Genomic DNA, 27,377 nt, shown 5'->3' with positions numbered 1-27,377 from the left:
GGCGATGACTTTTACCAAGCACACTGCCTGTAAACATTTTGTTAACAAGACACATCCTGCACAGCCCTAGATCCCTTAGACCTTGATTTCATACAACACATGTTTTTGTGAGCTCAAGGTTGGGGCAAAGTGGCTGGGGCAAAGCTACAAATTAACAACATCTCAGCAAAGCAATTGTTCAAAGTACAGGTCTTTTTCAAAATGGAGTCTTTTATGTCTTTCCTTTCTACATAGACACAGTAACAGTCTGATCTCTTTTTTCCCTACACGCTGTCTTGCCTTCCCTCTCTCCCTCTCCTGCTCACTCTCCAGCCCACTGTGGTCCTCCCTTAATTCTGCTAACATTGCACTTGTGATCCCCGAGTGGTTTTAGATCACTAAATCCCACAGACCCATTCATTCCATTCATTCATCATTTGTCTCTAGGTTTTCTCCCCTCTCCCCCGGATAAGTATCTCCTCTTGTTCCTGCGGCGACAGCTTTCGTCCTGTCCTCTTGTCTCCTGCCCCACGCTGGTGACTTTCCTCGGTGGGCTGCCCTTTCTTAGCCAGTCATTGAGGTTTCCCTTTTCTTTTCACTCCATGGCACTCATTTGAGGGGACACCCTCAATACTCACTTGCCCATCCCAGGGGAGGATCCTGAATGCTTCCCTCCAGCCCAGATTTCTCTCCTGACCTCAGCCTAGCTGCTTCCTGAACAAACCCCTGGGGTGTCTCCCAGGAACCTCAGACATGGGAGGTTCAAATCTGAATGTATCGACTTCCCTTGCCAGCAAGTCCCTGCTGGGTTTCCTATTCAGAGAACTGGGGATCACCCAGGCACCCAAACCCAAATAGTTATTCTCCCTTCCACCCCACCTGCAATCATAAATTCACACCCATTCTCCTCAAAGCCTTCCAACAGAATCATCCCGCTCTCCCTCCCCAGCTCTGACCTATTTTGCCCCAGTTCCCACAGAGCCCCCTCGATGTCCAACCCACATCCTTGTCCTGGGCTATGAATCACTTTTCTACTCAGCAGCCAGGGTCCTTCTCTAGTGTGTAAAGCTGCTTCCATCACCTCTGTGTTTAAACTCGCTTAGAGCTCCCTGTGGCTCTAAGGAATCACTTGGGAATCCTTGCCAGCGGCCAGCCCTTCTGCAGCCCACCAGCTCTGTCATGGCACCTTCCTCTCTGTAGCCCCTCAGCCTCTCTGCTCTTTGCCCCAGAGCCACCCAACTTCTTTTGGTTTCTTGAATGCTACCATTGCTCTTTTTCCCATCTGAAGCATTGTCCTCTCTGTTCACTTGACCACCTTCTCTTTCCCTGACCTCAGCACAGAAGTTGCCTCCTCCAAGAAGCCTTCCCTGACTTCCCAAACTGAATTTGGTGCTCTCCCTCAGCTTCCACAGACTTGTTTCACCATCTATTTGCCATCGGGTTGTACGTTCCATGAAGGCAATCCCTACGGAAATCACTTTGTGGTTAAGAGGGCGCCTGTGGTGTCAGGAGGGTTGGGATAACATTCTACAGGCAATAATTACTAGCTCTGTAGCCTTGGGAAAATTACTAAGCCTCTCTGCACCTCAGTTTCCTCATCCATAGAATGGGACTGCTGAGAGCATTTATCTCATAGGGACGTGAGGAGGATTCAATTGGCTATTTCAGGGAGAGATCTTGGCAGGTTGTCTGGCATCAAAACCTCAAGTACTGAGCTGTTGTCAACAGTATCATTGTTGCCTTTGTGATAGAGATTGCAAGGTGCCTGGGAGCCTCGGTTAAATGCCTGACTACACGATTGCTTTATTGCAGTTGTGCGCTGATGGCTCATTTGTCCTCAGCCCTGCATTCTGGTTGTTGAGGGAGATCATTCACAGAGCCAGGGCTAGGAACTGGTGAGGCAGTTGAGGGGCTCCATCTGGAAACCCAGAAAGTAGCTACTTCCCCCAAATTGGGGGTGCTAAAGGGCAGAAGAAGGATGTCGCATGATAAAGCCCTGCACAGCTGCAGGAGCAAGGAGTCCGGGGGCTGTGCCAGATGTGGTCAGGGCTAGGAGCTCTGGAAAGAGCCAGGTGGAGCCTGGGCCCTGGGGGTGGAAGGAGAGAAACTGAAAGTGGGCACCCAGAAGCCTGGGGGGCAGGAATTGGCCTTAGAGCAGCAGGGTCCCCTCCCAACCCTGGGCCTGAGGTCTGGGTGAGCTTGGCCACAAGCTTAGGTAGTCCTGGGCAGGCTGCTGCAGCTGAAGGCAGAAGGAGCCCAGATCTTGGGGTGGAGCTGAGCCTGCATGGGAGCTCAAGGGGCTTGTCTTTGGGGCACAGGTAGCCTCAGGGGCGCAGAGTCTGATAGTCAGCATGGAAAGGCACAAGCAACGTGTCCAACGAAATTATTTATTGCTGTCAGGAGGCCCAGGACCCTCCAGACTGAAGAGTCCATGGGCCCCTGTGCATGTGAGAGCTACACAGGGAATCGCTGTCACCTTCCAAGGATAAGCAGACAGGGCCACACATGCCATGGCCACTCGGTGCACAGGGGCCAGGCTGTGCCCAGAGACCCAGGCATCCAGCTTGCATTCCAAGTTCCTTACTGAGAGCCCCACTGCTTGATGGCAAGCTCTAGGCTTGCTTGGGATTGGTGACTTTGCTCATGAAGAAGATGTTCTGGGTGTCTGTAGGGACAATGATCATCAGGAAGGGCCTGTTGAAACGCACAATGGTCCTTGTCTCCACTAATGCAGAAAGGAGGGTGATTTTGACTGCTGTGGCAGCAGATGCTTCTGTGCCCTCCTCAAATACATCAAGCACAGCCTTATGGACCACCTGTGGGGACAGCAGAACATTACACACGGGAAACACAGATGCGCAGGAGTTCAGCGACCTGCCTGTGTGCCACTAAGGGGTCTAATGTGCATTGAGCACCTAGTGCTGGCCTGTCTTTGTGCTGTTGAATGTTTGCTCCTCCCAACTCCCCTGCCAACTAGTTTTGCACAGTCCTGATGCCTAGATGTGCAAATGGAGACCCAGATGCTGAGTATGATTTGCCCAGAGCCATCGAGGTAAAGAATGGAGCACCTCATATGCATCCCTTTGTGTCTGAGTTGAGAGTCTATTTTGCCCCCAAAACAGCCACTACTGTTGGGAGGAAGAGCAAGAACAATGTAAAGCATTTTTCTTCTAAGCAACATCCCGGCAGCTCTTGACCACAAGCAGCTGCTGCAGAAACCTCCTCAGCCAAGCCAGCATGGCTTTCAGCATCTCTCCTGCTCTAGCTTAAACATCCTTGGGGCTTTCAAGTACTTTTCATGGCCTTGAATTCCTGAACCATACGGGTCTGCTCCTCTACACACAACCCTCTCTTACTTTGCTGTTTGAAAGGTGGAGTGCAGACCTCAACCCAGTGCTGTGTGAGCACAGAGGGCAGACAAGAGCAAAAGGCTGCATGGCCACCCTGCCTTGGCGCCTCTGCTTTTAGTAACACAGGCTGAGTGTCCCAAGTAGTCTTCTCTCATACTCCGAGCATATTTTCATTACAATTGCCAGATAATCATTGTTATTACCTATTGGCATTCCCTGTCCAGCCAGGCACTGGATACTAGCCAAGAACTATCACTACCATTTGACACATGGAAAGCTGGGGGTGGAGGACTTTAATTGTTTGCCCCCATGGATAGTAAATGGTATAGTGTGGAATGGTGTCCATGGCTCTCTGATTCCAAGCCTGGATGACATTATGTTGTAGAGGCTCAACCCCTAACACGGCAGGAGGAGCTGGGCTGTAACCTAGCTCTTCTTGGCTTGGGGGTGTCCCAAGCAGGGTGAGTATATAATGAGAAATGCACGTGCATTAACCCAAGTTCAAGAGTACCCAAAAGTCCATCTGGCCTTCACCAATTCAAGTTCGGATACAAAGGATGAATTGACCCAAGTCTAAAGACTCACCTGGGAGACTGCTAGGTTCCTGGCCCCTGTGATCCCTGACAGGTCAGCCTTGCTGGTGAAGGCTTCCTCAATGCCCAGCTGGAGAAGTATGTCGTTCAGGTTATAGTCCCTCGAGATGGAAAACTTTGGCAGGTAGAGCTCACCTATCTCTCTAGAAAACGAGAAAAAAAAAGTATCTGAACCTCTGCTGATCAGTACCTACCTGCCTCCCACCTCGCAGCATGGTCTTCCCTGGTTTCCTCTACAGTCACCCCCTTCTGATTGGAAAATAAATAATCTGTTCCTCAATTTCTTAACCCCTGTCTTTACTCTTCTTATTCATTAATTATTCATTCAGATCTGCAAGTGTGAAAGTCTCCAGGCAGCACACCAAGCCTGGAGTTGTGGCCCTGCTCGAGCCTGGCCCTGCCCTTTCCCTGCAGCTTGCAATGCAGTTGAAGCACCTTCACACCAGCAGGGACCCCTGAGTGTGTTGAGAGCCTGGGCTGGGCCAGCTGCAGTGGCTGCATGGCAGCCTGCTTCACGGGGGCACCAGGAGGGCTTCCTGTAGGAGGTGGTGTTGAGGCTGAGTCCCAAAGGCAGGAAAGGAGCTAGCTAGGTGAAGAGGTGGGCAGGAGGCAGGTGGAAGAACCTGGAAGAAGGTGGGAGCAGGAGGAGTTGCTCCACGGGGCGGTGGGTGATCTCAGTGTTTCAGGGAGGAGGGTAGTGAGGGATGAGGTGGGCCAGGAGCCAGAGGCAGGTCAAAAAGGGCCTGGGGGCCTCTGAAGAGTCTGATTGTGTTAGAAGAGCTTTGGGGATCCTGAAACAATCAATTGGAGGTTCCCATCTTGCCTCACCAGTGGGCACTGTCCCTCAAGCCAGGTGTGGGCTGGCATAGAGCAGGTAGCAAGCTCCTAGAGGCCCAGGTCACACCTGCCACCTGCAAACTCCCCCTCCCTTAGTTTATAGCCCTCTTAAGATGCCTGTCACTGTCTGCCTGGTCTTACAATTATACAGGAGGCTGTGTCTTCCATTAAACTCTGAGTCCCCTGAAGGAGGAAGGTGTCCTATTTCTATTTTTATTCATTCATTCATGTGTTTGTCCGTTCATTCCATCCTTCATTCAACAAGTATCTATTGAGCATTCTCTGTGGGCCAGGAGTGTGTGGACACATGTTTCCTCAGCATTTTGTAAATCAAAAGTGTTTGGAGAATTCTTTCCACTCAAAATTATCTGCTGAGCCCCTGCTCCCTGGTGGCTATTAGGTGCTAAAGGAGGAAGGAGTCTGGGAGTAAACGGATGGGTTGGGTAGGACCCCCACGTTCTGGGGTCTCCTGGGATCTAGAGTGAGGAGGGGCTGAGGGTCAGGCAATCCCGAGAGGTGTCCGGCCTTCTGGACAGTGGTTGGGGCAGGGGTTGCAGCCTCAGGTTAGTGTTGAAGCAGCTCCCTTGCCCTTAGTGGTTTATTATGGCTTCAACATACAATACCTCACCGGATTCTCACAATCACCCAGTGAAAACAGGGGTGGTGGGGAAAGGACATTCCTTTCTCTTCAGGAGGTAGCTGAGCTCCAGAGAAGAGCAGCGACCTGCTCCAGGTCACACCAGCCACCACGGTCTGAACCCAAGGCTGGTGCTCCTTCCTCTCTACCCCACACAGCTGCCCACATGCACTCCCTGGGCCCACTGCAGGGTCTGGGCCCGGAACTACTGCTCCTCCTCACTGTGTCCCCATGAAATCGGTCAGCTCAATTCCGTGTGTCCCAGCAAGTTCCTCTACCCTCAGATTTATCCAGAACTCAATGACTTCTCACATGCATGGCTCCCTCCTGGATCCCAGCCACAGTGGGCTCCCACCTCATGTCTGTGCCTGGTTCCTGCGGGTGTCACTGACTCCATACCTGCTCTACAGTTATTCTCCTCTCAGCAGCCAGGATTAGTCTTTTAAAACAACACTCGGATCGCAGCACTCCTCCAAACCTCCTGATGGCTCTCCATTTCACACACAGGAGGAAGGGCAAGGTTTTCTAGGGGTCTACGTGGCCCTACCTAAGCTGCTCCACCCCTTTGGGGACTCCTGACCTCTCTCAACTCTCTCCTCACTCTCTCTGCTCCTGCACCGTGGTGGAGCTGAAGTACACAGGCAATGCCAGCGCACTCTTCATCCTCCCTGATCAAGACAAGATGGAGGAAGTGGAAGCCCAGCTGCTCTGGCCTGACTCTTCTTTGACCACATCAAGCTCACTTCCACCTCAGAGGCCTTGCACTGACTGTTCCCTCTGCCAGGAATGCTTTTCCCTAATATACCAACATGACTCCACCCCTCCCCTCTGTTATATGGATGCTCAAACATCACCTAATGGCTACTCTATCTAAAATCACAAACTAACACGAGTTCCAGTTTTCCTGATCCTTTCATCCTCCTCTACTCAATTTCTATCCCCTTACTCAATTTCTCACCTTCTAATATATCACGTAACTTATTTGTTATATTTATTTATTGCCTGTCCCCTCTCCAATTACAAATTAAGCTCCAGGAGGGCAGGGAATCTTGTGTTTTATTTGCTGATTTACTCTCAGGGTGCAAATTAGTGTCTGACACATAGTAGGTGCTCAATTAATCATGCAGCAAATGCTGAGAGAATGAATAAATACAGTGGTTCACCAGTGCAGAACTGATTCTCAGAGTCCATCTCACTGCAGCCCTCAACTGATCACAATTCCTTCTGTTTCTCTCTCCCTTCAAGAGATTGAGACCAGGAGAAACCATGCATGAGTGTTTGGGACTGTGCAGAAGATTTCTCATGACTTAGAACATGCTGGAGTCAGAGGAAGCCTCAGCCCCTTGTCCTGTCTGATGTCATTGTCTTAAAGAAGAAAAAGAAAAATCAAGCCCAAAGCCATGTAGGCAGCATAGGGCAAAGTAAGTGTAAATTCCACCTGTCCCTGTATGAGTTCTCCCACCACCATGCCCTTGTCCCTGGACATTGGTGAGACCTTGACGTGGAGAGATGTGGGGTCTTTGGGGGCCAGGAAGAATCACCTGAACTCCAGAGAGTCTCTCCACCGCTTCAGGGTCTCTGGGAGCAGCATGGCTTCCACTTCCTCCATCTTGTCTTGATCAGGGAGGATGAAGAGTGCGCTGGCATTGCCTGTGTACTTCAGCTCCACCACGGTGCAGGACAGCTCCTCGTCCCGGAAGTAAGGTATAGTCAGGTGATGCAAACTCATCATGGGCACCATTACCCACTTTTTCTTGCTCAAGTAGAACCTTGACTGATGAGTATCTTGGGGGTCAAAGGGCATCTCCCATTTGGCTGAAGGTGGAGCAAGCAGTTGGAGAAGGTGTGAGTGCAAGGGTCGCCCTGCTCGACCCTGCTTCCGCAGCAGTGGAAGTGCCCAGAGTCCCTCATAGGAGGGACCCTGCTTTGGTTTAGAGAAGTAGCTTGGCAAGAGTAAAAGTTATTGGGGGTGAGGGAGAGCCCAGCAGGCTTGGATTGGGAAAAGGGCCACAAAAGAAAGACCTAGTTCCTTGTGCTAAATGAGAAATCAATAGGAACCAGGGAATAAGGAGTGCAAGAGAGAAAGAAGGTTTAGGGAAAGTGGGGGAAAGAGGCATGACAACATGTGGGAGGCTGGTGCCTGAGGAGAAATGGGACAGCCTTTGTTCCATAAAAGGAAAAATGTCTCATTAGCAATTATTACTCACTGGTATTACAGGGATGTGAACATATAACAGTGGCTTGTGGGAGGGCTTTGGGTGGAAATAAGAGGAAAGAGACTGGGTTCTGTATGTGAGTTGGTGAGGGCAGACAGAAGAGATGCCAATCAGTGTGAATGAGGGGAGGAACAGGAAGAACCTTAATGGAAGATAGAACTCAGAGCCAGGAGAGACCATGGGAATAAAAGCCTAGGGACACTTGTGACATCTTAGAGGATAGCGGTGTTGGACATCACAAAAGCCATGAGCTGGCTATGGTCCTTAGCTCATATCTAGCTCATGTCCACCTCTACAGACCATGAATATTCAGCTAAGATTTGCCCTGGATTCAGTGTCTGTCAGGCTGAGGATTCAACTGTGGGTGTTCTGACTCTGAGGCTGCCTAGGCTCTCAGTGTTGCAAAGGTAAAATTCCATGAAACTGCCTCTGGTACCTCTAGCTATCACAAACCTGAAATGCAGCCTGACTCCTAGCCAGGCTGACATAACTCCTCTCACTAAAGGCCTATTTACCATAGTAAAGAGAAAGAGAAAATCTTGAAAGAGGTAGAGGTAGAGGCAGAGGGAGGAAAACTCCACCTTATCTAAAAAGGAATAAGGATGAAAATGACAGCAGACTTCTCATCAGAAACTATGCAAGCAAGGGAAGAATGGAGTAAAATATTTAAAATGTTGAAAATTCCATGAAACTCATTCTTTGGGAATCATGACATAGGCCCATGATTCGCACGCATTTAGTTGGGTACAATTATTTTCCTCCCCTAGAACAGGGGTCAGGAAACTATAGCCTGTAAGCCAATACAGCCATAGCTTATTTTTGTGTGTACCTAAAGCTAAGAATGGTGCTTATATTTTTCAAAGGTTGTAAAAAAAATGAAGAGGAAAGAGAAGATGAAGAAGATGCAGAGGAGGAAGTCAAAAAGAAGAATCTGCCCTCATGTGGACCACACAGCCTAAAATACATACTACTAGGCCCTTTATGGAAAAAAAATTGTCAATCCTTTCTCTAGGTTGTGGGCTCCACAATCTTTCACCTCCATTCTTGGTTTTAGGAGATGCTTGGTAAAAGCTCATAAAGTCACAAACGGCTTTACTTTAGGGGTTAAAATGAGGGAGCAAAAGGAATTTTCAAATGGGCCCAGGTCAACTTTGAATGTTTAATTATTTGCTTTTCTGGACGGCATGTCTCCTACCTAACAAATGGCAATACCACCATCCACCTTTCAGAGCCGCTGCGAGAATTAAACGAGGTATTGCATGTGAATGGCTGGTGAGAGTAGCTGCTCAATAAATGGGAGCTTCTTTCCTTTCTTTCTTTATTTTGGTTTTTCTTTCTGTAATTGCAATGAGAGCCAGCTTCTGGGTGGCCCTACATTCTCTTGTGCCCTCATCTTCCTTCTTGACACTTCCCCACCTTTGGGCTTTCTAGGACCAAAATAACTGTCCATCTTTCCTTTCCCCTCCCCAAAGACCATCTCAGCTTCTCTGGTCCCTGCAGCCTCCCAACATGGAATGACTGGGGACAAATGTAATTGTAAAGATCCCTTGGAGAAAGGACCCATCTCAGGGTAGGAGATATTTCAGTTGAACAGGTGTCCCCGTTACCAATTGCAGCAGCCATTCAGGGGCTTCTGTGGCCTCCATGTGAGGGCAGTGCCATGGAGCACCTTCCCATATTACCCAGGGCACCGAGCTCCTTTGGGGCCTTTCAGCTGGCCAGATCTCCAGCATGGGTCCCTGCCAGAAAGATGGGCTGCCTCTGGGGACCCTGACTGCTGCCTTGTATGCCAGAATGGGGAGAGAGATAGGTTTGGTGGATGAAATCACCACCCAAGCTCTACAAGCCTTTAAATCTTCTCACATCTGCTCCCATCTCCCCCCATTTCTGTCTGCCAGCCACCAAGTTTTCCAATTTTGCCTCCTTAACATCTTCTGACATCCTCAGCTGTTCAACTGAGGGCCCGAATGTCTGGTTAGTCTAGTGTCTTTAGTATCTGATCTCTGCTTGACTCAACTTTCTCTCTGCTGTAACGGCCTTCGCTTCTTATTCTATCTGGATTTAAGAGAAAAGACGAAAACCGTTTTCTAGGGGAAACCTTCCTTTCTTGAATTCCCATCTTCTGCCCCTGGTTGGATGCCCCCACCCCCTTACTTTCAGCTGAATACATAGTTCTAGCATCACTGGGTGAGTCAATCCTTGCATGCTCTTGGGTCCAGTGGGTGCAATGGAAGAGGAAGAGCAGAAAGGGAGGGAACAAGCACTCCAGGGTTCTGAGCTGGGACTGTCTCAGCCTGAAGCTCATGCATGCTCGGTCCCCTCCACCTTCCACAGGGCTGCCCCAGCAGTGACCAAGCCCCGTCACATACACTGTATGTAAACCAGGCTGAGGCAGGGAGCAAAACTGGCACCTGGAGAGTGAGGAGAGGTCAACAGAGGAAGGGGAGGGGCCCTGCAGGTCTCCACTCCAGGAGGACCAGAGCACTGAACAATGAGGGGGGTGGGAGCTTCCAGGGGAGGCTGGAGACATGGGGCCACCTCCACTGCCCACCTGTTTACCACCTGCCTGTTTCCCATTGTTAGAGGCAGGTGGGGAGGGGAAAGCTAGGCTGGCTACTGTGTCCTGGAGGGGAGAGTCCTAGCATAGGGCTAGGTAGTAGGAGGCGAGAACATGGGAAACTCAGAGAACAAATGGCACGTGAGGCGTGGAGTAGTCTTAGAGGGAGATCTGGATCCACGCCTTCATTTACAGATGAAAACCCAGGCCCAGGAGGGGAAGTGGCTTGCCCAGGAATCAACCAACAGCTTCCAAGCAGGACTCTGCCTCCAAGCAGCTCATGTCTCCTAAGCACCTTTCCACCCTCTGGCTCAGTGATCACTCTTTGTGTCCCTATCTCTTTTTTTGTCCCCATCTGGACTGTGGGCTCCAGGAGGCAAAAGCTACCGGCTTGCACTCTGCCCCTTCGGAGCTTGCAGGCTGAGGTTTGCATTGGTTGAGTTTCTATCAATGGGATTGGGCACTGGACCAGTTAGAATCTGGCAAAGGGTCATGTTTTGTATACTGCCCACCCTTGAGGCTCTTCCCCAGATGGGAACAATGCCATTTCTGCCCTCATTTGTTATGTGTCAGTGACATATTTTTTAAAATAATTAAAGATGATAGCAGAGTAGAATCATAGAATCTTGGAAGTGGCCAGGCTCCTTGGGGATTATCTTGCCCTGTGAAGATGGCCCCAGCCCCACCTGGCCACCTCCAGACACCAAGGCCCCTGGCTGGAATGTGCTCCTCCCACATGTGCAGGGCAGGAGCCCCAGGTGCATCCAGACAGAGGGACTTCCTGGCCTAGTCTAGCAGCACCCCTGCAAGGAGGGAGCTCTAGCTCCTACGCGCCCTGGAGTGGTTTGAAAGGAGAGCTCCTTCTTTCTGTTTGCCGGACAAGTTTAAATCAGAGTGAAAAGCACCACACTGACTCAGACCAGAGGCTGATGGGCTCCACTGAATTATGTCTTCCAAGGACAAACTGTAATTTGGAAAAACCCCACAGGAGACGGCGATGCCTATGGGCAGGGTGGGGCCTTGATGCTTATGCTGCCCCCATGCTGTGGGCACTCTCCTCTACAGTGGTTTGCCTAATAACACCATTGTTGAGTCAGGACAGAAATGGCCCTGAGATCCACCTCTTCTGAACCCCAAGCCAGGCACACTCACCTTTAAAGAAGATGTAATTCACCAGGACCATCATTGTCTGCGAGTCAAGGTCCTTGATCAGATCTGTGATTTTCCCCCTAGTTCCATTCTTCACGTAGTCGTTGATGAGCTTCTTAGCTGCAGCTGAGTCCTGAAAGTCAGTGGCAAAGGCCTCGGAGCCATACAGCCTCTTGGCATCCTCCGTGAACCTGTCCAGCAGACTGAGTTGCTCTTTGACAAACATGGCATTTCCCATACTCAGCTGCAGCTCATCGCTGGACTGATTGAGGGTGCGCAGGAGGTGCTGGAAGCTCTGGTGAATTTCTGCCTCAGAAGTCTCCGTGAGGTTGAACTTGAGGCCTTTGAGAATCTCTGTCAGGGTGGTATTATGGGCCCCCAGAGACAGGAAGGCCAAGGCGGTGGAGATGCTCAGTGGGGAGAAGATGACATTCTTATCAGGGGCCTTCAGGACTAACTGCTTGTACAGGCTGAAAGCGAAGTCCACGTTGGCGGAGGCTAATCCGAGGTCCACGTGTGTCCCTCGGTCTTGGTTCTCCTGGGTCAGATTCTCCTCGTCAAGTGGGCTGTTAGGGTGGCAGAGGACAGCAGGGCAGAACCCAGCCGCCAAGAGCCCCAGAGCCAGGAGAGGTAACATTCTCTCCATTCTCAACTCTGAAAAGCAAAGCTCCTTTAAGTCTCAGAGGGCCAGATGGAGCCCCGACCACCTCCCACTGCCCTCCACCCAGCCTGCGTCCTGGTCCCTGTCCTGCTGCCTCTTGCTAGCTTTGGAGCCTCCCTCAGGTAGGTGCTCTCTGGGGCACCCGACACACATCACTCTGCTTCATTTCACCCTTTGAGGTAGGTACCATAATTGTTGCCATTTTCTTGCAGTGGAAAAGCCGGGCACAGAGCGGTGAGGGGGCTTGCCCAAGATCATACAGCAAACAGGTAAAGGAGCCCAGTGGGCAGCCAGGTTTGCCTGGCTCCTCGGTCTGTAAGCTGATGGGGGGTCCGAGGTTCAGTCCAATCAGAATGCCTGCTCCTCTCCTGCTTGGTGAGCAGATCTCATCCTAGGGGATTAGAAAGCAGGGGCTCCCTTCCTTCATTCTCCCAACTGCCACCAAAGTAGAACCCAGGGATGAAGGAGCCCTGGGCAGAGATAGAGGCCACAGTGACTCTCCCAGCCTCTAGATGTCACGTGGTGTGGCCTCCACAGGCCTCCACGATGTGATGCTGGGTGGCAGTGAGGGTCGACTGAGAGAGGGAAATGAAAGTCCCTGGTACAGTGTCTGGAGCCTCGATGGCCCTGATAATGGTTGGCAGCAAGACCAAAGAAAGGCAAATGTTCTTCTCTGCCCCTGCCAGGTTGCCACGTGGTGTCTGTGTCCACCATAAGCCTGGAAGGGCCTCTTAGTGGGGAGAAGGCAGAGAGGGCTTTGGAGTCTCCCAGACTTGGACTGGGATTTTATTTTGGCCACTTTTGATTGCTGTGTACTGGCAAGCAGGTGACTGTACATCTCTCAACCTGTTTCCGTCTCTGCACAACCTGTTAAGTGGCTCAGGTGAGATAAATGATGAAGGCACCTGGTTCATATTAGACGTACCGAGCAGTCACCACCTCCCATACTACCCCTTTCCTGAAACTACAAGCCAGAGAAGAGCCATGAGCTACTGCACAAGAGACCCTGGAAGGGCTGAGTTCCAAGCCGGTGACCGCAGCAAACAAGATTATTCACCTTCAGCCTCCGCCCACTCAGTCCTAGAATTCAGAAGAGAAAAGGGGCAGCTTGGGTGCTGGGGAGAAGAGTGGGGAAGAGAGGCGATTGGAAGGGAGGGGAGGGGAGAGGGGTAGAGAGAGGAGAAGAAAAGGGGAAGAGAGAGTGGAAGGAAGGGAAGGAAGGAAAGGAAGGGAAGGAGGGGAAGGAGGGGAAGGAGGGGAAGGAGGGGAGGCCAGTGGAAATGCCTTTGGCCAAGCCCAGGGACAGAGGCACCTTGTTTGCTTCAACTGTTCACTCTCAGGCTGATGCAATCATTTCTCTGGATAAATGTTAGACAATATTTTTCTCCAGAATTATTTCAGGGGCAAAGGCTTGTCTTTTCTGTTTGGGCAAGTTGGAGGGCTGGCTGTTTCCCAGCAGTTTGTCTTTTCTGTTGCTGGACAGAGACACAGCCCATCTGTCGACTTGGCCAGGGGTCCTTTTGGGGAAGTGGAGCTCCCGAGGCAGCCCCATGGAGACCCTGAAATCATGGTGAGGCCTGTGGCCTCTGCTCAGAGGGACCTGCTGCAATAATCACATCTGCCACATGTTCTGAGAGCTGCACCCTGCTCCAGGCAAGGGGACAGCACCTCTTCCCTGAGGGTCAGATGCACAGCTGACTCAAATCCGAATCTGTAAGTATCAAGGCAGAAATGACCATAGAGGCCCCAGGGCACCTCCACCCTTTGCAGGTGTGAAAACCCAGACACAGAGGATGCCTCTAAAAAAGGCACAGGGAATCAGTGGCAGCCAAGAACAGACCCCTGGCCCCTAACACCTGAGTACACCTCCTCCTGGCCTCTGCTTACCCCTCACACTCCACACACTCCAGGCTGCTGCCTAAAACTCTCCTGGAAAAACAGATTCCTCCGCTCCCAGGATGTAAAACATCATGGATTACCTGCCTCAGGGAGCTGGATGTAGCTGGTGGATTCCAAAGCCGTCTGTCTGGAGTAGTGGATTTTCATGAATGCTGAGGCTTATTTATTCCTGCAGAGAACTCCTCCCCCTGCTTGGGAAATGCCAGGACAACCAAGTGTTCTGTTCTCGGACTGGAAATGACCAGATGATAATTTCTGGTAATACGGGCTTGTTAGACCTACTCAAATAACCTGGTTATGGGACTAGCTCTAATCTCTTCCTCCAAAGGTCAAAAAAGCACACAGAAAAAATCCTTTGTTGTATTAGTTTTTATCTGCTTATTAAATACTCATTGAAGAACATGGAAAAACTCAGAGAATGTAAAGAAGGACTTTGGAAAATATCCCCCAGCACTTTACTACCCAGAGAAGACCCCAGCTAACATTTTGGTATATTTCTTTTTTATTTCTTTTTATTTTTTATTTTTATTTTGAGACAGAGTCTTGCTTTGTTGCCCAGGCTGGAGTGCAGTGGCGTGATCTCAGCTCACTGCAACCTCTGACTCCCGGGTTCAAGCAACTTTCTGCCTCAGCCTCCCGAGTAGCTGGGACTACAGGCACACACCACCACGCCCAGCTAATTTTTGTATTTTTCGTAGAGACAGGGTTTCACCTTGTTGGTCGGACTGGTCTTGAACTCCTGACCTCGTGATCTGCCCACCTCAGCCTCCCAAAGTGCTGGGATTACAGGCATGAGCCACCGCACCCAGCCACATTTTGGTGTATTTCTAAAGCACTTTTCTTTGGTGTCTCTGTGTGTGTGTGTGTGTGTGGCTGCATGTGTGTCTGTGTGTCTGTGTGATGTGAATGTCCATATACAAACCTAGATATATTTTTAAAATACAGGACTCTATTTTTCTGTGGATCAGTTTGCATTTTTGGCACCCCTTCACCAACCCCAGAGAGTAGGGCACCTAGAGAGGGGTGTGGAGGGGAGCTTTCGGGGAGCACAGGTGTTGTGAGGAACCCCTTGTCCTCAGGCTCTGTTTCTCTGTGGGGGCCTCCTCAGCCTTGGCCTCTGTCCTGCTGAGCCTCTGCGATTGGTTCACCCCAACAAGTGGTTGTCCCTCCTCCCCGGCCTTCAGGTATCCTTGGGCCTCTCTCTTAGCTAGTCTGGGGTCTTTCTTTGGCTCATGAAAAAGGAAAAAAAAAATCCTGGGCGGGACTAGTGGCTCATGCTGGTAATCCCAGCATCTTGGGAGGCTGACGTGGGCAGACCACCTGAGGTCAGGAGTCCATGACCAGCTTGGCCAACATGGCGAAACCCCATCTTTACTAAAAATACAAAAAAAAAAAAAACAAACAAACTAGCAGGGCATCATGGCGCATGCCTGTAACCCAGCTACTTGGGAGGCGAGGCTGAGGCAGGAGAATCGCTTGAACCCAGGAGGCAGAGGTTGCAGTGAGCCAAGATCACGCCACTGCACTCCAGCCTGGGCAACACAGAGAGACTCTGTCTCAAAAAAAAAAAAATCCTTCCTCTTGATTCCTCATGGTCACAGTCCCCATCCGGGGTAGCCCTGACAGGCCTCTCTAGAGGGCATGCTTTGGAGGCCACCAGACCAGTGGCGAGGTTCTAGCTCTGGCATGAGCTGACCTGGCTTGAATCTCTGATGTCTGACTCACCAACTGACTCACTTCAAACAAATCATGGGAAATCTCTACAGCTTAATTTCCTCATGTCTAAGATGCAAGGCAATATTCCCTGACAGAGTGGTAATCAAGATGAAATGAAATGATATTAAATGTACACTCTACGAGGACAGGATTTTTTGTTTGTCTGTTGCGATAGTGCTGCATCTTTAGAGGACTTACATATTTGTTGACTGTAAGGCACTAAGATGACCAATAACTGTCTGGGCCCATCTTTCTTAAATGACTTTCAGGCTCCCAGTTTTGGAATTGAATGTGTGTGTGTGTGTGTGTGTGTGTGTGTGTGTGTGTGTGTGTGTCTTTATATATATATCTCTCTCTATGTGTGTGTGTGTATATATATACATATATACGTATACACATATATAATATATTATATATTTTTATATATATATTATATATATATATATATATATATAGAGAGAGAGAGAGAGAGAGAGAGAGAGAGACTCGCTTTGTCACCCAGGCTGGAATGTAGTGGCGCAATCATTGCTCGTTGCTTACTGAAGACTCTGACTCCTGGACTCAAGATATCCTGCCGCCTCGACTCAAGATATCCTGCCGCCTCAGCCTTCTGAGTAGCTGGAACCATAGGTGCACAACGCCATGCCTGGCTAATTTTTAAATTTTTATTTTTTTGTAGAGGCAGGGTTTCATTGTGTTGTCCAGGCTAGTCTTGAAATCCTGGCCTCAAGGGATCCTCCCACCTCAGCCTCCCAAAGTGCTGGAATTACAGGTGTGAGCCACTGTACCTGGCCAATACATATGTTTAAGTTACACAGAATCCTAAAGAAATAGTTGCTAAAATGAGACTGAAGTTCATTTCCCTCTCCTGCAGGTCCAGCTGGAGGCAGTGGGTTGATATGGTGCCTCCACGTTGTCAGAAACCACGTCCTCCTGTCTGGTTGCTCAGCTGCCCCTCCACGTCTGTTTGTCTAGGCTAAGATGGCTCACTGCTATGTCCACCTTCCAGTCCATAGAAAGGGCCACAGGGGAAGGGAAGGGCACACCCTTTCTTTTGAAAGGAATGCCTTGAACATTGCCTGTCATTCCCACTTGTGTTGTGTTGCCTGGAGTTTTGTCCCATGGCCATACCTAGCTACAAAGGAGGCTGTGCAGTGCAGTCAAGATTCTAGGTAGCCACCTCCCAGCTAAAAATTCAGAGTTCCATTACCATGAGAGAGACAAAGAGAGTGGACATTGGGGATGACTAGTCATCTTGCCTCAGAGCATTATCTGAGTGTTCTCAAGTTCTCCGGCCTCAGAGCATCATTTTCCTTCTTTCTTTCTTTTCTTAAATTATACTTTAAGTTGTGGGGTACATGTGCACAACGTGCAGGTTTTTTACATAGGTATACATGTGCCATATTGGTTTGCTGCACCCATCAACTTGTCATTTACATTAGGTATTTCTCCTAATGCTATCCCTCTGCCAGCCCCCAACCCCCCAACAGGCCCCAATGTGTGATAGTCCCCTCCCTGTGTCCATATGTTTTCGTTGTTCAGCTCCCACTTATGAGTGAGAACATGTGGTGTTTGGTTTCCTGTTCCTGTATTAGTTTGCTGAGAATGATGGTTTCCAGCTTCATCCATGTCCCTGAAAAGGACATGAACTCATCCTTTTTTATGGCTGCATAGTATTCCATGGTGTATATGTGCCATATTTTCTTTATCCAGTCTATTATTGGTGGACATTTGGGTTGGTTCCAAGTCTTTGCTATTGTGAATGGTGCCACAATAAACATATGTGTGCATGTGTCTTTATAGTAGCATGATGTATAATCCTTTGGGTATATATCCAGTAATGGGATTGCTGGGTCAAATTGTATTTCTAGTTCTACATCCTTGAGGAATTGCCACACTGTCTTCCACAAAGGTTGAACTAATTTACAGACCCACCAACAGTGTAAAAGCATTTCTATTTCTCTGCATACTCTCCAGCATCTGTTGTTTCCTGACTTTTTAATGATCCCCATTCTAACTGGTATGAGATGGTATCTCATTGTGGTTTTGATTTGCATTTCTCTAAGGACCAGTGATGATGAGCATTTTTTCATATGTCTGTTGGCTTCATAAATGTCTTCATTTGAGAAGTGTCTGTTCATCTCCTTCGCCCACTTTTTGATGGGATTGTTTGTTTTTTTCTTGTAAATTTGCTTAAGTTCCTTGTAGATTCTGGATATTAGCCCTTTGTCAGATGGATAGATTGCAAAAATTTTCTCCCATTCTGTAGGTTACCTGTTCACTCTGATGATAGTTTCTTTTGCTGTGCAGAAGCTCTTTAGTTTAATTAGATCCCATTTGTCAATTTTGGCTTTTGTTGCCATTGCTTTTGGTGTTTTAGTCATGAAGTCTTTGCCTATGCCTATGTCCTGAATGGTATTGCCTAAGTTTTCTTCTAGGGTTTTTATGGTTTTAGGTCTTACATTTAAGTCTTTAATCCATCTTGAGTTAATTTTTGTATAAGGTGTAAGGAAGGGATCCAGCTTCAGCTTTCTACATATGGCTAGCCAGTTTTCCCAGCACCATTTATTAAATAGGGAATCCTTTTCCCATTTCTTGTTTTTGTCAGGTTTGTCAAAGATCAGATGGTTGTAGATGTGTGGTGTTATTTCTGAGGCCTCTGTTCTGTTCCATTGTTCTATATATCTGTTTTGGTACCAGTACCATACTGTTTTGGTTACTGAAGCCTTGTAATATAGTTTGAAGTCAGGTAGTGTTATACCTCCAGCTTGGTTCTTTTGGCTTAGGATTGTCTTGGCTATGCAGGCTCTTTTTTGGTTCCATATGAAATTTAAAGTAGTTTTTTCCAATTCTGTGAAGAAAGTCAGTGGTAGCTTGATGGAGATAGCATTGCATCTATAAATTACTTTGGGCAGTATGGCCATTTTCATGATATTGATTCTTATTATCCATGAGCATGGAATGTTCTTCCATTTGTTTGTGTCCTCTTTTATTTCGTTGAGTAGTGGTTTGTAGTTCTCCTTGAAGAGGTCCTTCACATCCCTTGTAAGTTGGATTCCTAGGTATTTTATTCTCTTTGTAGCAATTGTGAATGGGAGCTCACTCATGATTTGGCTCTCTGTTTGTCTGTTATTGTTGTATAGGAATGCGTGTGATTTTTGCACATTGATTTTGTATCCTAAGATTTTGATGAAGTTGCTTATTGGCTTAAGGAGATTTTGGGCTGAGACAATGGGGATTTCTAAATATACAATCATGTCATCTGCAAATAGAGACTTGACTTCCTTTTTTCCTAATTGAATACCCTTTATTTCTTTCTCTTGCCTGATTGCCCTGGCCAGAACTTCCCATACTATGTTGAATAGGAGTGGTGAGAGAGGACATCCTTGTCTTGTACCAGTTTTCAAAGGGAAAAGCATCATTTTCTTTACAGTTGAGCTGACTTAGTCTTGACCTCCATCCAACGTGAAAGCAGAAAATTTTTGACCTTCTGCAGGTCCTACTGAGGATGCTTTGGAGGACCTGCAGAGGGTCAAGAATTGTTCTGGGTGCCACTGGTCACCTGGAGCTCCAGGCAGATGCCCCAAGGCCACGTTTACCCCATTCCTGACCTTCTCCCAGCCTCTTTTCTGGGCTCTTACAAGTCTTCATTGGTCTGCTTTTCCCCAGGCATTGGTACAGGCCCTTCCTTCGGTTCTGCAAGCACCATTCATACAAGGATGGCACATGTCATCGTGGACTCCCATGACCAGATGAAACCACAGGGCAATTAAGACAGAAAAGTGAAGCAACACTAAGGCCAAATCATACTCTTCCAGGCCCACTGCTCTTCCTTTTTGGAACAGCCCCCTGTGGGTCATCTCCCCACCAGCCCGTGGGCTGCAGGATCGCTGGAGCCTGTTTGCCTCCCGAGTCAGCAATCCCTTGAGAATGTTCTCTCATCAGAATCCAGGGCACTTCTACTGTTTTTTGGAACCCGACAAAAGGAAGCAAAGAGGAAATGAGGAGGATACTAGGGTCTGAGGAGATGCTCCTGCCTTTGAGGAAGAGAGCTTTGACATCCTTGCTGTACAGCACATGTGATTCAGGGACCAGTAGCTGCAGCAACACAGAAGAGCTTGTTAGAAATGCTAATTCTTGGGGCCCAGCCCAGGCATGCTAATTTAGAATTTGGATACTAATAATAACCCCAAGGTGATCTGTGTGCACCAGAAAGCCTGAGAAGCTCTGCTTCTTAGGCTAAGCAGAAGAGCAACCTCTGTAGGAGGTTCCTGCCTTTAGATTTCCTCTGTCTCCAGCTTCCTGGGTTGGGATCTGCCCTGCCTCTTCATAATGTGGCTTCAAGCCAGGCTCTCCCAGAACACACTGAGGGCCTTGTCCAAGGGCAGAATTCAGCATCCACTCCAGAATAAGAACAGGTGCAGTGGATTTAAAATAGTATGTAGGCTGGGGGCAGTGGCTCATGCCTGTAATCCCAGCACTTTGGGAGGCCAAGGCAGGTGGATCACCTGAGGTCAGGGCTTCAAGACCAGCCCAGCCAACATGGCAAAACCCCATCTCTAATAAAAATACAAAAAAATTAGCCAGGCATGATGGCACATGCCTGTAGTCCCAGCTACTCAGGAGGCTGAGGCAGGAGAATCTCTTGAACCCGAGAGGCAGAGGTGGCAGTGGGCTGAGATCGTACCACTGTACTCCAGGCTGGGCAACAGAGCAAGAGTCCATCTCAAAAAAAAATTAAAATAAATAAATAAAGTATGTATTTTTATTTGTCCTATACTTGGACTTTATAGGTTACCAAGTGCTTTTCTATACATTGTTCATTCATTTATTTTTTCCTTTATTCCACAAATATTTACAGAGTGATTTTATGTGCCAGGCATGATCCTAGGCACTGGGCATCCAGCAACGAGCAAAACAAATAATGCTCCCACTCTCAGGGTGACACTGTCTCTGCAGTTTTGGGGCAGTGGCCTTAATGGAAGGGAGCAGGGACTACATTCCAGGGATCTGCAAACTTTTTTCTGTAATGGGCCAAATAGTAAGTGCTTTAGACTTTGATGGTCGCATATGATCTCTGTCTCCTCTTCTCCCCTGACTCCTCTTTGTCTTTCTCCTTTTCTTCCTTCTTCCTCATAATCTTTTAAAAATGTATGAAGCTTAGCTTGTGAAATATTTAAAAGCTGTCTGTTTTGGGCCTGGGTTTGGCCAGTGGGTCTAGTTAGCCGACCCCTGGACAATCTCCTTAAGCAGCTGTGAAGTGATCAGATACATATGGAGTCCAGAATACTGAATAAACACCCTTACTGTTTTAGCTCAGGCTCACATTATAGCTTCAAGCCTATGCGTTGCCCCCAGAGGTTTGAAATGCAAGTTAATTTCATTGCTTCCATCCCACCTCTCAACTCCATCCTGCCCTACTTGAAATTGCAGGGAGCCCCTTCCTGATTGAAATCTTCTCTTTCTTCTCTCTGGGAAGCAGAGTCCCATGCAATGGTTATCAATCTGGGGGGAGGACTCCCAACATGTCCCCAACACTGTGCACCTGCCTCGCTCCTCAGAGAGGACTCTAAGCATCTTGCTAATTTCTGCTTAATTTCCTGGATGTGGGAGGAGGTTTTACACAAACCCAGTTGCTAGAGTATGAGTTTGATGTGACAGAATACTATGCAAGCCACGCAAACCAACTTCATTACAGATATAGGCAGCAAGAATCAACAGACGCCTAGGATCCATGGTGAACCAGTCCCCCAAGGCTCAGGAAAGCTGCCCCGGCAGATGGGGTCTTGTTTGCATGTGCCTCACTTTGCACCACAGCTAAGGGGCCTCAAAAACACCCCTCCCTGGGTTTTATATCTCAGAAGTCACTTGGATGGCTGAAACAAGTTTTAGGAGGAATGAAGACAAAGCTCAGATTGTTCCTGATATTTTCTCCTTGTCTCAGGGCACTGCATTCTTAGCATATTCTACAGTTATCCTGAGAGCTAAGAGTTGGAGGAAGGAGAGCCAAGGCCAAGGCCATCTGGGGATTGCTGTCCTGTACTCTGCATCCCCCACAACCTCTTGATCCTGCTAAACCCTGTGTCCTTTCCCCATACCTCCCAGTAGGTGCAGAAAATTCCCTAGGCAGAACATGTGCTGGCTAACGAGTATTTTGACATTGCCATGGCTGACTGTCTCCTCTCTTTGTATATCTTGTATAGCTCCCATCTCTGATGATGTTGAAAAAAATCTCTGCCCTCTTTTTTTTTTTGAGATAGGGACTCACTCTGTAGCCCAAGCTGGAGTGCAGTGGTGCAATCTCACCTCATGTGCAGCTTCAACATCCTGGGCTCAAGTGATCCTCCCCCTTCAGCCTCCCGAGTAGTTGGGATTACAGGTGCACACCACCATGCCCAGCTAATTTTTGTAATTTTTTGCAGAGACATGGTTTCACCATGTTGCCCAGGCTGGTCTCAATCACCTGGGCTCAATTGATCCACGCACCTTGGCCACTCAAAGTGCTGGGACTACAGGCATGAGCCACCTTGCCCGGCCTCTGCCCCTTCTTTTATCCTAAGTTTTCTTACCAAGCTTTGGTCTGTGTCAACCTCCAGGAAGGGGAGTAGGAAGGAGGAAAAAGCTTCCTATGTCTAATCATGTGATTTGCCCACATACCCCTAGCTGTTAAATGCAGGAGCTGTTGGAGTTTAGGAAAGACCAATCCAATGCCAAATCCAGACTCTCACCACCATCCCCTGCTCCTTCTTTAAAAATGAAGGAAGGCATTTCCATTCTTGAACACAGGAGAGAAAATCACATTTTCACAGGCTTTAGGGTTGATGCCTTTTTAAGGCTTTGGTTGTCTGTAGATCTGTGTAGGGAAAGATTTTCTTTACTGATTGGGGTCTCAGCTGAATGGGAGCTTTGTCCACATTGGTCACCACCCTCTTCTTTGACTGTGGATGGGTATAGTCCTCTGACTTAAAATGGACACAGGGGGTCAGCCTACGGTGAGATTGAAAGTTCACTCTGGCTTTTGGGAGGTCAGGGCCAGGGGCTCCAGGGGACTATTTCTTTTCTTTTTTTTTTCTTTTTGAGATGGAGTCTCACTCTGTTGCCCAGGCTGGAGTGCAATGGCATGATCTCAGTTCACTCCAATCTCTACTATCTCTACTTCCTGGGTTCAAGCAATTCTCCTGCCTCAGCCTCCTGAGTAGCTGGGATTACAGGTGACTGCCACCACACCTGGCTAATTTTTGTATTTTTGGTAGAGACGGGGTTTCACCATATTGGCCAGGCTGATCTCAAACTTTTGACCTCAGGTAATCCGCCCACCTCAGCCTCTCAAAGAGCTGGAATTACAGGCTTGAGCCAGCAGGCCTGGCCTCCAGGAGACTATTTCTAAAGGTCAGGGAATCTGGTGGAATGCAGGAGTGGAGATGGCAGAGGTAGTGGGTGGCACTGGCCTTTGGGACCTGTGTGAGTGTGGCTGTAGTGCCTGTCTCAAAAGTGAAGAGACTAAAGATTCACATCAAATGTTCAGCCTGGGACCTGGGACAAGCAGATGCTTAGTCCAAGGCCTAGTGACTCTCACTGTCCCTGGATTGCAGTCACCTTGGTACACACAGAGTCCATCAGACAATGGAATTCTGCAAGCTTGATCACTGTGATGCTGCTTGTGGTCTTCACAGCTATTGCCTTTGTGGTGCCACTCTTGATTCCTAAATGCTGACTTGGTGCAGTGGGCTAAGGAACACCCTAGGAAATGGGTTGTGTCCACACATGGGCTGGGACTGCAGATAGGGAAGAGTGTGCTTCTGGGGCATAACCAGCAGGAGCCCAAGCACAAACGTGCCCACCTGCATGGGAAGGTGAGGCGGAGAGAAACCAACGCTGGTGCCTTCCGGAGAGGCAGGGGCCATCCAAAGAGTGTCACCCACCAGGGCTTCTTTTGCAACATGGCTTTGCCACATCTACTTGCTGGGTGACTTTAGGGCCATAACTTTACCTCTCTGAAACTCTTTTGTCAACCGTAGCTCCTTTAAGAATTCTTAGGAGGCTGGGCTCAGTGGCTCATGCCTGTAATTCTAGCACTTTGGGAGGCTGAGGCAGGTGGATCACCTGAGATCAAGAGTTTGAGACCAGCCTGGCCAACATGGTGAAACCTTGTCTCTACTAAAAATACAAAAATTAGCCCTGTGTGGTGGTGGGTGCCTGTAATCCCAGTTACTCGGGAGGTTGAGGCAGGAGAATCCCTTGAACCCGGCAGGCAGAGGTTTCAGTGAGCTGAGATTGTGCCATTGCATTCCAGCCTGGGCAACAGAGCAAAAACTCCATCTCAAAAAAAAAAAAAAGAATTCTTAGGAAGAAGAAATAGATACTGACTGACACCAGCAGATCCAGAGAACCCTGAGAAGGCCCCACCTTCTCTGTGGAAGGCCAGAGGACTCTGGTCTCTGTTAGAAAAGGATGGAGTCAATAGCCTGTTTTTGCCCAACACCTATGCTGCTCTCTGGCTGGGTTCGTGCTGGCCTGGTTTGGAGGCTGCTGGGGGAGATACTGGCTGCAGATTTGAGGCAGGATTTGCAAATTTCCTTCAGCACAGCTAGGCCTTTGGCTGCGTCCCTGTATGGATAAGAGGTGCCTGCAGAGGGTTTGGCAAAAGCAGGGAGAACTCCTGACTCTGTTTTGAGGGCTGCTGAGTCATCCCTTCCTCCTTGGTGTTGGGTCCGTTCTCCCTCCGGGAGGGAGTGGCTGCTGTAGCTTGCCATCCCTGGCTTCCATTTCAGAACTGCTGCACGCTGCATGCTGCATCTCCGAGTTCTGGCAAACCAGGCCAGCCCCCACCCCTTACTGCCTAGAGAACCTCACACATGTCCTAATTCCTCTGAGCCTCAGTGCCTTTTCTGCATGTGAAATGAGACAGAAATATCCTGCTCACTCACTCGTTCATTTATTCCTTCAGCTAGTCCATCCATTTTTTAAAACATTAATAATCTACTATGAGGGCAATTAGTCTGCTGGATTCTGAGGTTCTAACGCTCTGGTCATTTTACAAATGTGTCCACAAATGTCTGATACCACTTCCTTGAAGAGATAGAGCTTAATTACTTTCTCTCACATTGGACTGGACTTAGTGACTTCTTTCTAAGGCAGAAGGGGTGGGGTGTCATTTCCGAGATTGGGTTATAAAAAGACTGATGCTTCTGGCCAGGCGTGGTGGCTCAGACCTGTAATCTCAGCACTTTGGGAGGCCGAGGCGGGCAGATCACGAGGTCAGGAGATCGAGACCATCCTGGCTAACACAGTGAAACCCCGTCTCTACTAAAAATACAAAAAATTAGCTGGGCGTGTTGGCGGGCGCCTGTAGTCCCAGCTACTTGGGAGGCTGAGGCAGGAGAATGGTGTGAACCTGGGAGGCAGAGCTTGCAGTGAGCCGAGATCACGCCACTGCACTCCAGCCTGGGCGACAGAGTGAGACTCTGTCTCAAAAAAAAAAAAAAAAAAAAAAAGACTGCTGCTTCTGCCATGGGTTCTCTCTCTGTGTCCCCCTCTCTCTGTCCCTTACTCTCTCTGTCTTTCTCTTTTCCCCTCTATTTTGTGCTTTCTGTCTTTTGTCTCTCTCTTGGTCCTGGACATTCAACAACTGTCTGTGTCTCTGTCTCTATCTCTCTCTCTGCCTTTCTCTTTTTTTCTCTCTCTCTTTTGTGCTTTCTCTCTATATCCTCTCTCGGTCCTGGACACTAAACAAACAAGCCTCTCTCTCTCTCTCTCTCTCTCTCTCTCTCTCTCTCTCTCTAAGTCACATTTGAGCAGCCCTGTGAGTAGCCCACATAGGGAGGAACTGAGACCTTCTACCAACAGCCCCACAAGTGAGCCTTCTGGGATTGCCCTGGCCAACAGCAATCCTGGATTCCTGACCCTCAGGAACTCCGTGAGATAATCATGGGCTATTTACTCTGCAGCAGTAGATGACTAACACATTCCACAGCTCCCGTCCTCTTGACTCTCAGGAATCATGGGAAGTGGGTAAGGAGGGAAATTTGAGGACGAAGTAAGAAAACCAGTAAATCTCATAATACAATCTGTGCCACATGGCTGACGCCTTACTACCTTCCTCCGCCTTCCTTCTACTTAAGCAAATCTGCCTCTCCTTCCCTCACTTCCGGAGGCCCAGTGACATAGATGATGGTCATCATAGCTGCTCTGTTCTTTATGCTTAAGAGCACATGGAATCCACATGAACACCCACTGAGGCGGGTCCCATTACTCCCTCAATTTTAGATATGAGGAAACGGAAGTACAGGGAGGCGGAGCTCATTCCCAAGGCCTCACCACCACTGCTGGTAAGTGCCAAGCTGAGCCAGGATTCTGAACCAGGCAGGTTGGCTTCGACGTCCACCCTCGTTCCTTCCCTGCAAACACAGCTCCACTCCCAGCTGACCTGTGCCCAGCCTGGCCATGAAGACACAGTGACCCCAGAGATAAGGAGACACCCTCTGAGGTTGCGCAGCTGGGGAAGGTGGAGGCCCCCTGACTCCTCTGGCAGTCCTCTGTGCCAGCCCTGGAGGGAGCCTGGGTTTTGCATCAGAAATAACGGGCTTGCGTCCTGGCGGTGTGGATGATCACTCGTGCTTCTCTCCTTGCCAGGACACAGATAGGCTTCTGATTTTAGGGTCGAGGGGTTGTGCCGCTGCGTTTTACCTGTGGCTCTGTCTTTATCAGAGGTCTCTGGTAACTAACATTTTGACCTGGGATTTTGACACAGGGGCCTCCTTGGCACCTGTCCTTAGCTACCCTCACATGGAGCATTGCCCCCAAATAACCCCCTTGACTTCCTCACTTGCTCTTTTGCTCCTTCTCCTGCTCCTCACAGTCATTCAGCAAGCAGGAAGTGAGTGGGTGGTGCCTCTTCTCCTGGCTCAGCCTCCACCTCCCCTCAGGGCCCCCAGCGTGGGGCTGGGTCTCCCCCTCCACATCCCTACTCTCCACCTCTGCTGCCCACGTGGGTCCCAGCCTGTCTGGCTGCACCCTCAGTGACCTCTGAGCTGGTCCTTACTTCCACCCTCACCCCACCTGACTGTTTTCTACGTGGCCACCAGGATATCCTTAAGAATATGAGTCCTTCAGGTTACTGGCCAGTTTGAAGCACCCCTACTGGCCTCCCAGTACCCTGAGGCCCAACTGCATCATCCCCAGGTCCAGAAGACCCCCCTTTCTGGACAAGCCCCACCAATCTCTGCAGCTAGGATGCCCAGGAGCAAAGTCCCCTAGAGCCGGACCCTCCCTGCAGAGCTCACCTTTGGCCAGGGGAGGGAGGGAGAGGAGCTCTAGGAAAACCTGCAGTAGAAAAGCCTCTTTGTTACTCCCAGGCTGGCTACTCCTGGCACAGGTTGCAACTTCCCAGACAAAACTGTGTGAGTCAGCTCCTCTGCAGTGAACAAGGCCACCTCACAGAATGTTCTGTCTCAGGCTTCAGTTTGATGATGCAATCATGGATAAGGCAATCCTTTGTTATGCTCCCGGCCCTCATATTATGTAGCAGGAAGCCTCCCAGGGTCCTTCCTTGTGGCCCTGACCCTCTTCTGACCCAAGCCCCAATCCCACTGCCAGTGCAGTGCCTGGACTTTCCTGCTGTCCCTGGGACTTCCCGCATCTCTGCAGGGAAGGCTGTTGGCTTCTGGCCATCGGAGCAGCTGCTTCTCAATCATCCCTGTTCCCTACAGGTAGAATTGTCAGATTTAGCAAACAAAAACACCTCACAATTCAAAGGGCATGGGTACTTTGCTAAAAAGTTACTC

General features: G+C 49.2%; 1 protein-coding gene across 4 annotated transcripts, besides 1 other annotated feature; it reads right to left on the bottom strand.

The window, feature by feature from the left end:
- SERPINA3 (serpin family A member 3) lies at positions 2,353–14,015 on the bottom strand. Of its 4 annotated transcripts, none has more exons than NM_001384673.1 (6): positions 13,959–14,015; positions 13,037–13,059; positions 11,322–11,972; positions 6,938–7,211; positions 3,915–4,065; positions 2,353–2,795 (listed from the first exon to the last, which is right to left on the bottom strand). In NM_001384673.1, exons 3-6 carry the CDS (start codon positions 11,962–11,964, stop codon positions 2,592–2,594), a joined length of 1,272 nt encoding a protein of 423 aa, NP_001371602.1. In that variant the 5' UTR covers positions 11,965–11,972; positions 13,037–13,059; positions 13,959–14,015; the 3' UTR covers positions 2,353–2,591. The 4 variants fall into 4 exon arrangements, with proteins under 4 accessions (NP_001371602.1, NP_001371603.1, NP_001371601.1 ...); NM_001384674.1 differs by lacking the exon at positions 13,037–13,059 and adding an exon at positions 12,167–12,370; NM_001384672.1 differs by lacking the exon at positions 13,037–13,059 and having other exon boundaries at positions 13,867–14,015.
- Positions 26,383–27,221: an enhancer, noted in NCBI's record as "H3K27ac-H3K4me1 hESC enhancer chr14:95065522-95066360 (GRCh37/hg19 assembly coordinates)". NCBI's record gives its function as "activates a minimal SCP1, AML or CMV promoter by ChIP-STARR-seq in naive H9 embryonic stem cells {active_cell/tissue: H9 hESC(naive)}" and the evidence as "EXISTENCE:reporter gene assay evidence [ECO:0000049][PMID:30033119]".

Source organism: Homo sapiens, chromosome 14, assembly GCF_000001405.40.
Source record: "Homo sapiens chromosome 14, GRCh38.p14 Primary Assembly".
NCBI classification, from domain to species: Eukaryota; Metazoa; Chordata; class Mammalia; order Primates; family Hominidae; genus Homo; species Homo sapiens.
Note: the sequence above shows the minus strand (reverse complement) of the source record. Positions and strands in the feature narration are given on the sequence as shown.

Excerpts from the sequence above, each read along its gene's own strand:
- SERPINA3 (NM_001384672.1), bottom strand. The coding sequence starts at position 11,964 with ATGGAGAGAATGTTACCTCTCCTGGCTCTGGGGCTCTTGGCGGCTGGG. Across the intron at positions 7,212-11,321 it reads GAATTACATCTTCTTTAAAG|CCAAATGGGAGATGCCCTTT; the intron begins GTGAGTGTGCCT and ends CTCCACCTTCAG. Across the intron at positions 2,796-3,914 it reads GGAACCTAGCAGTCTCCCAG|GTGGTCCATAAGGCTGTGCT; the intron begins GTGAGTCTTTAG and ends CTGTCCCCACAG.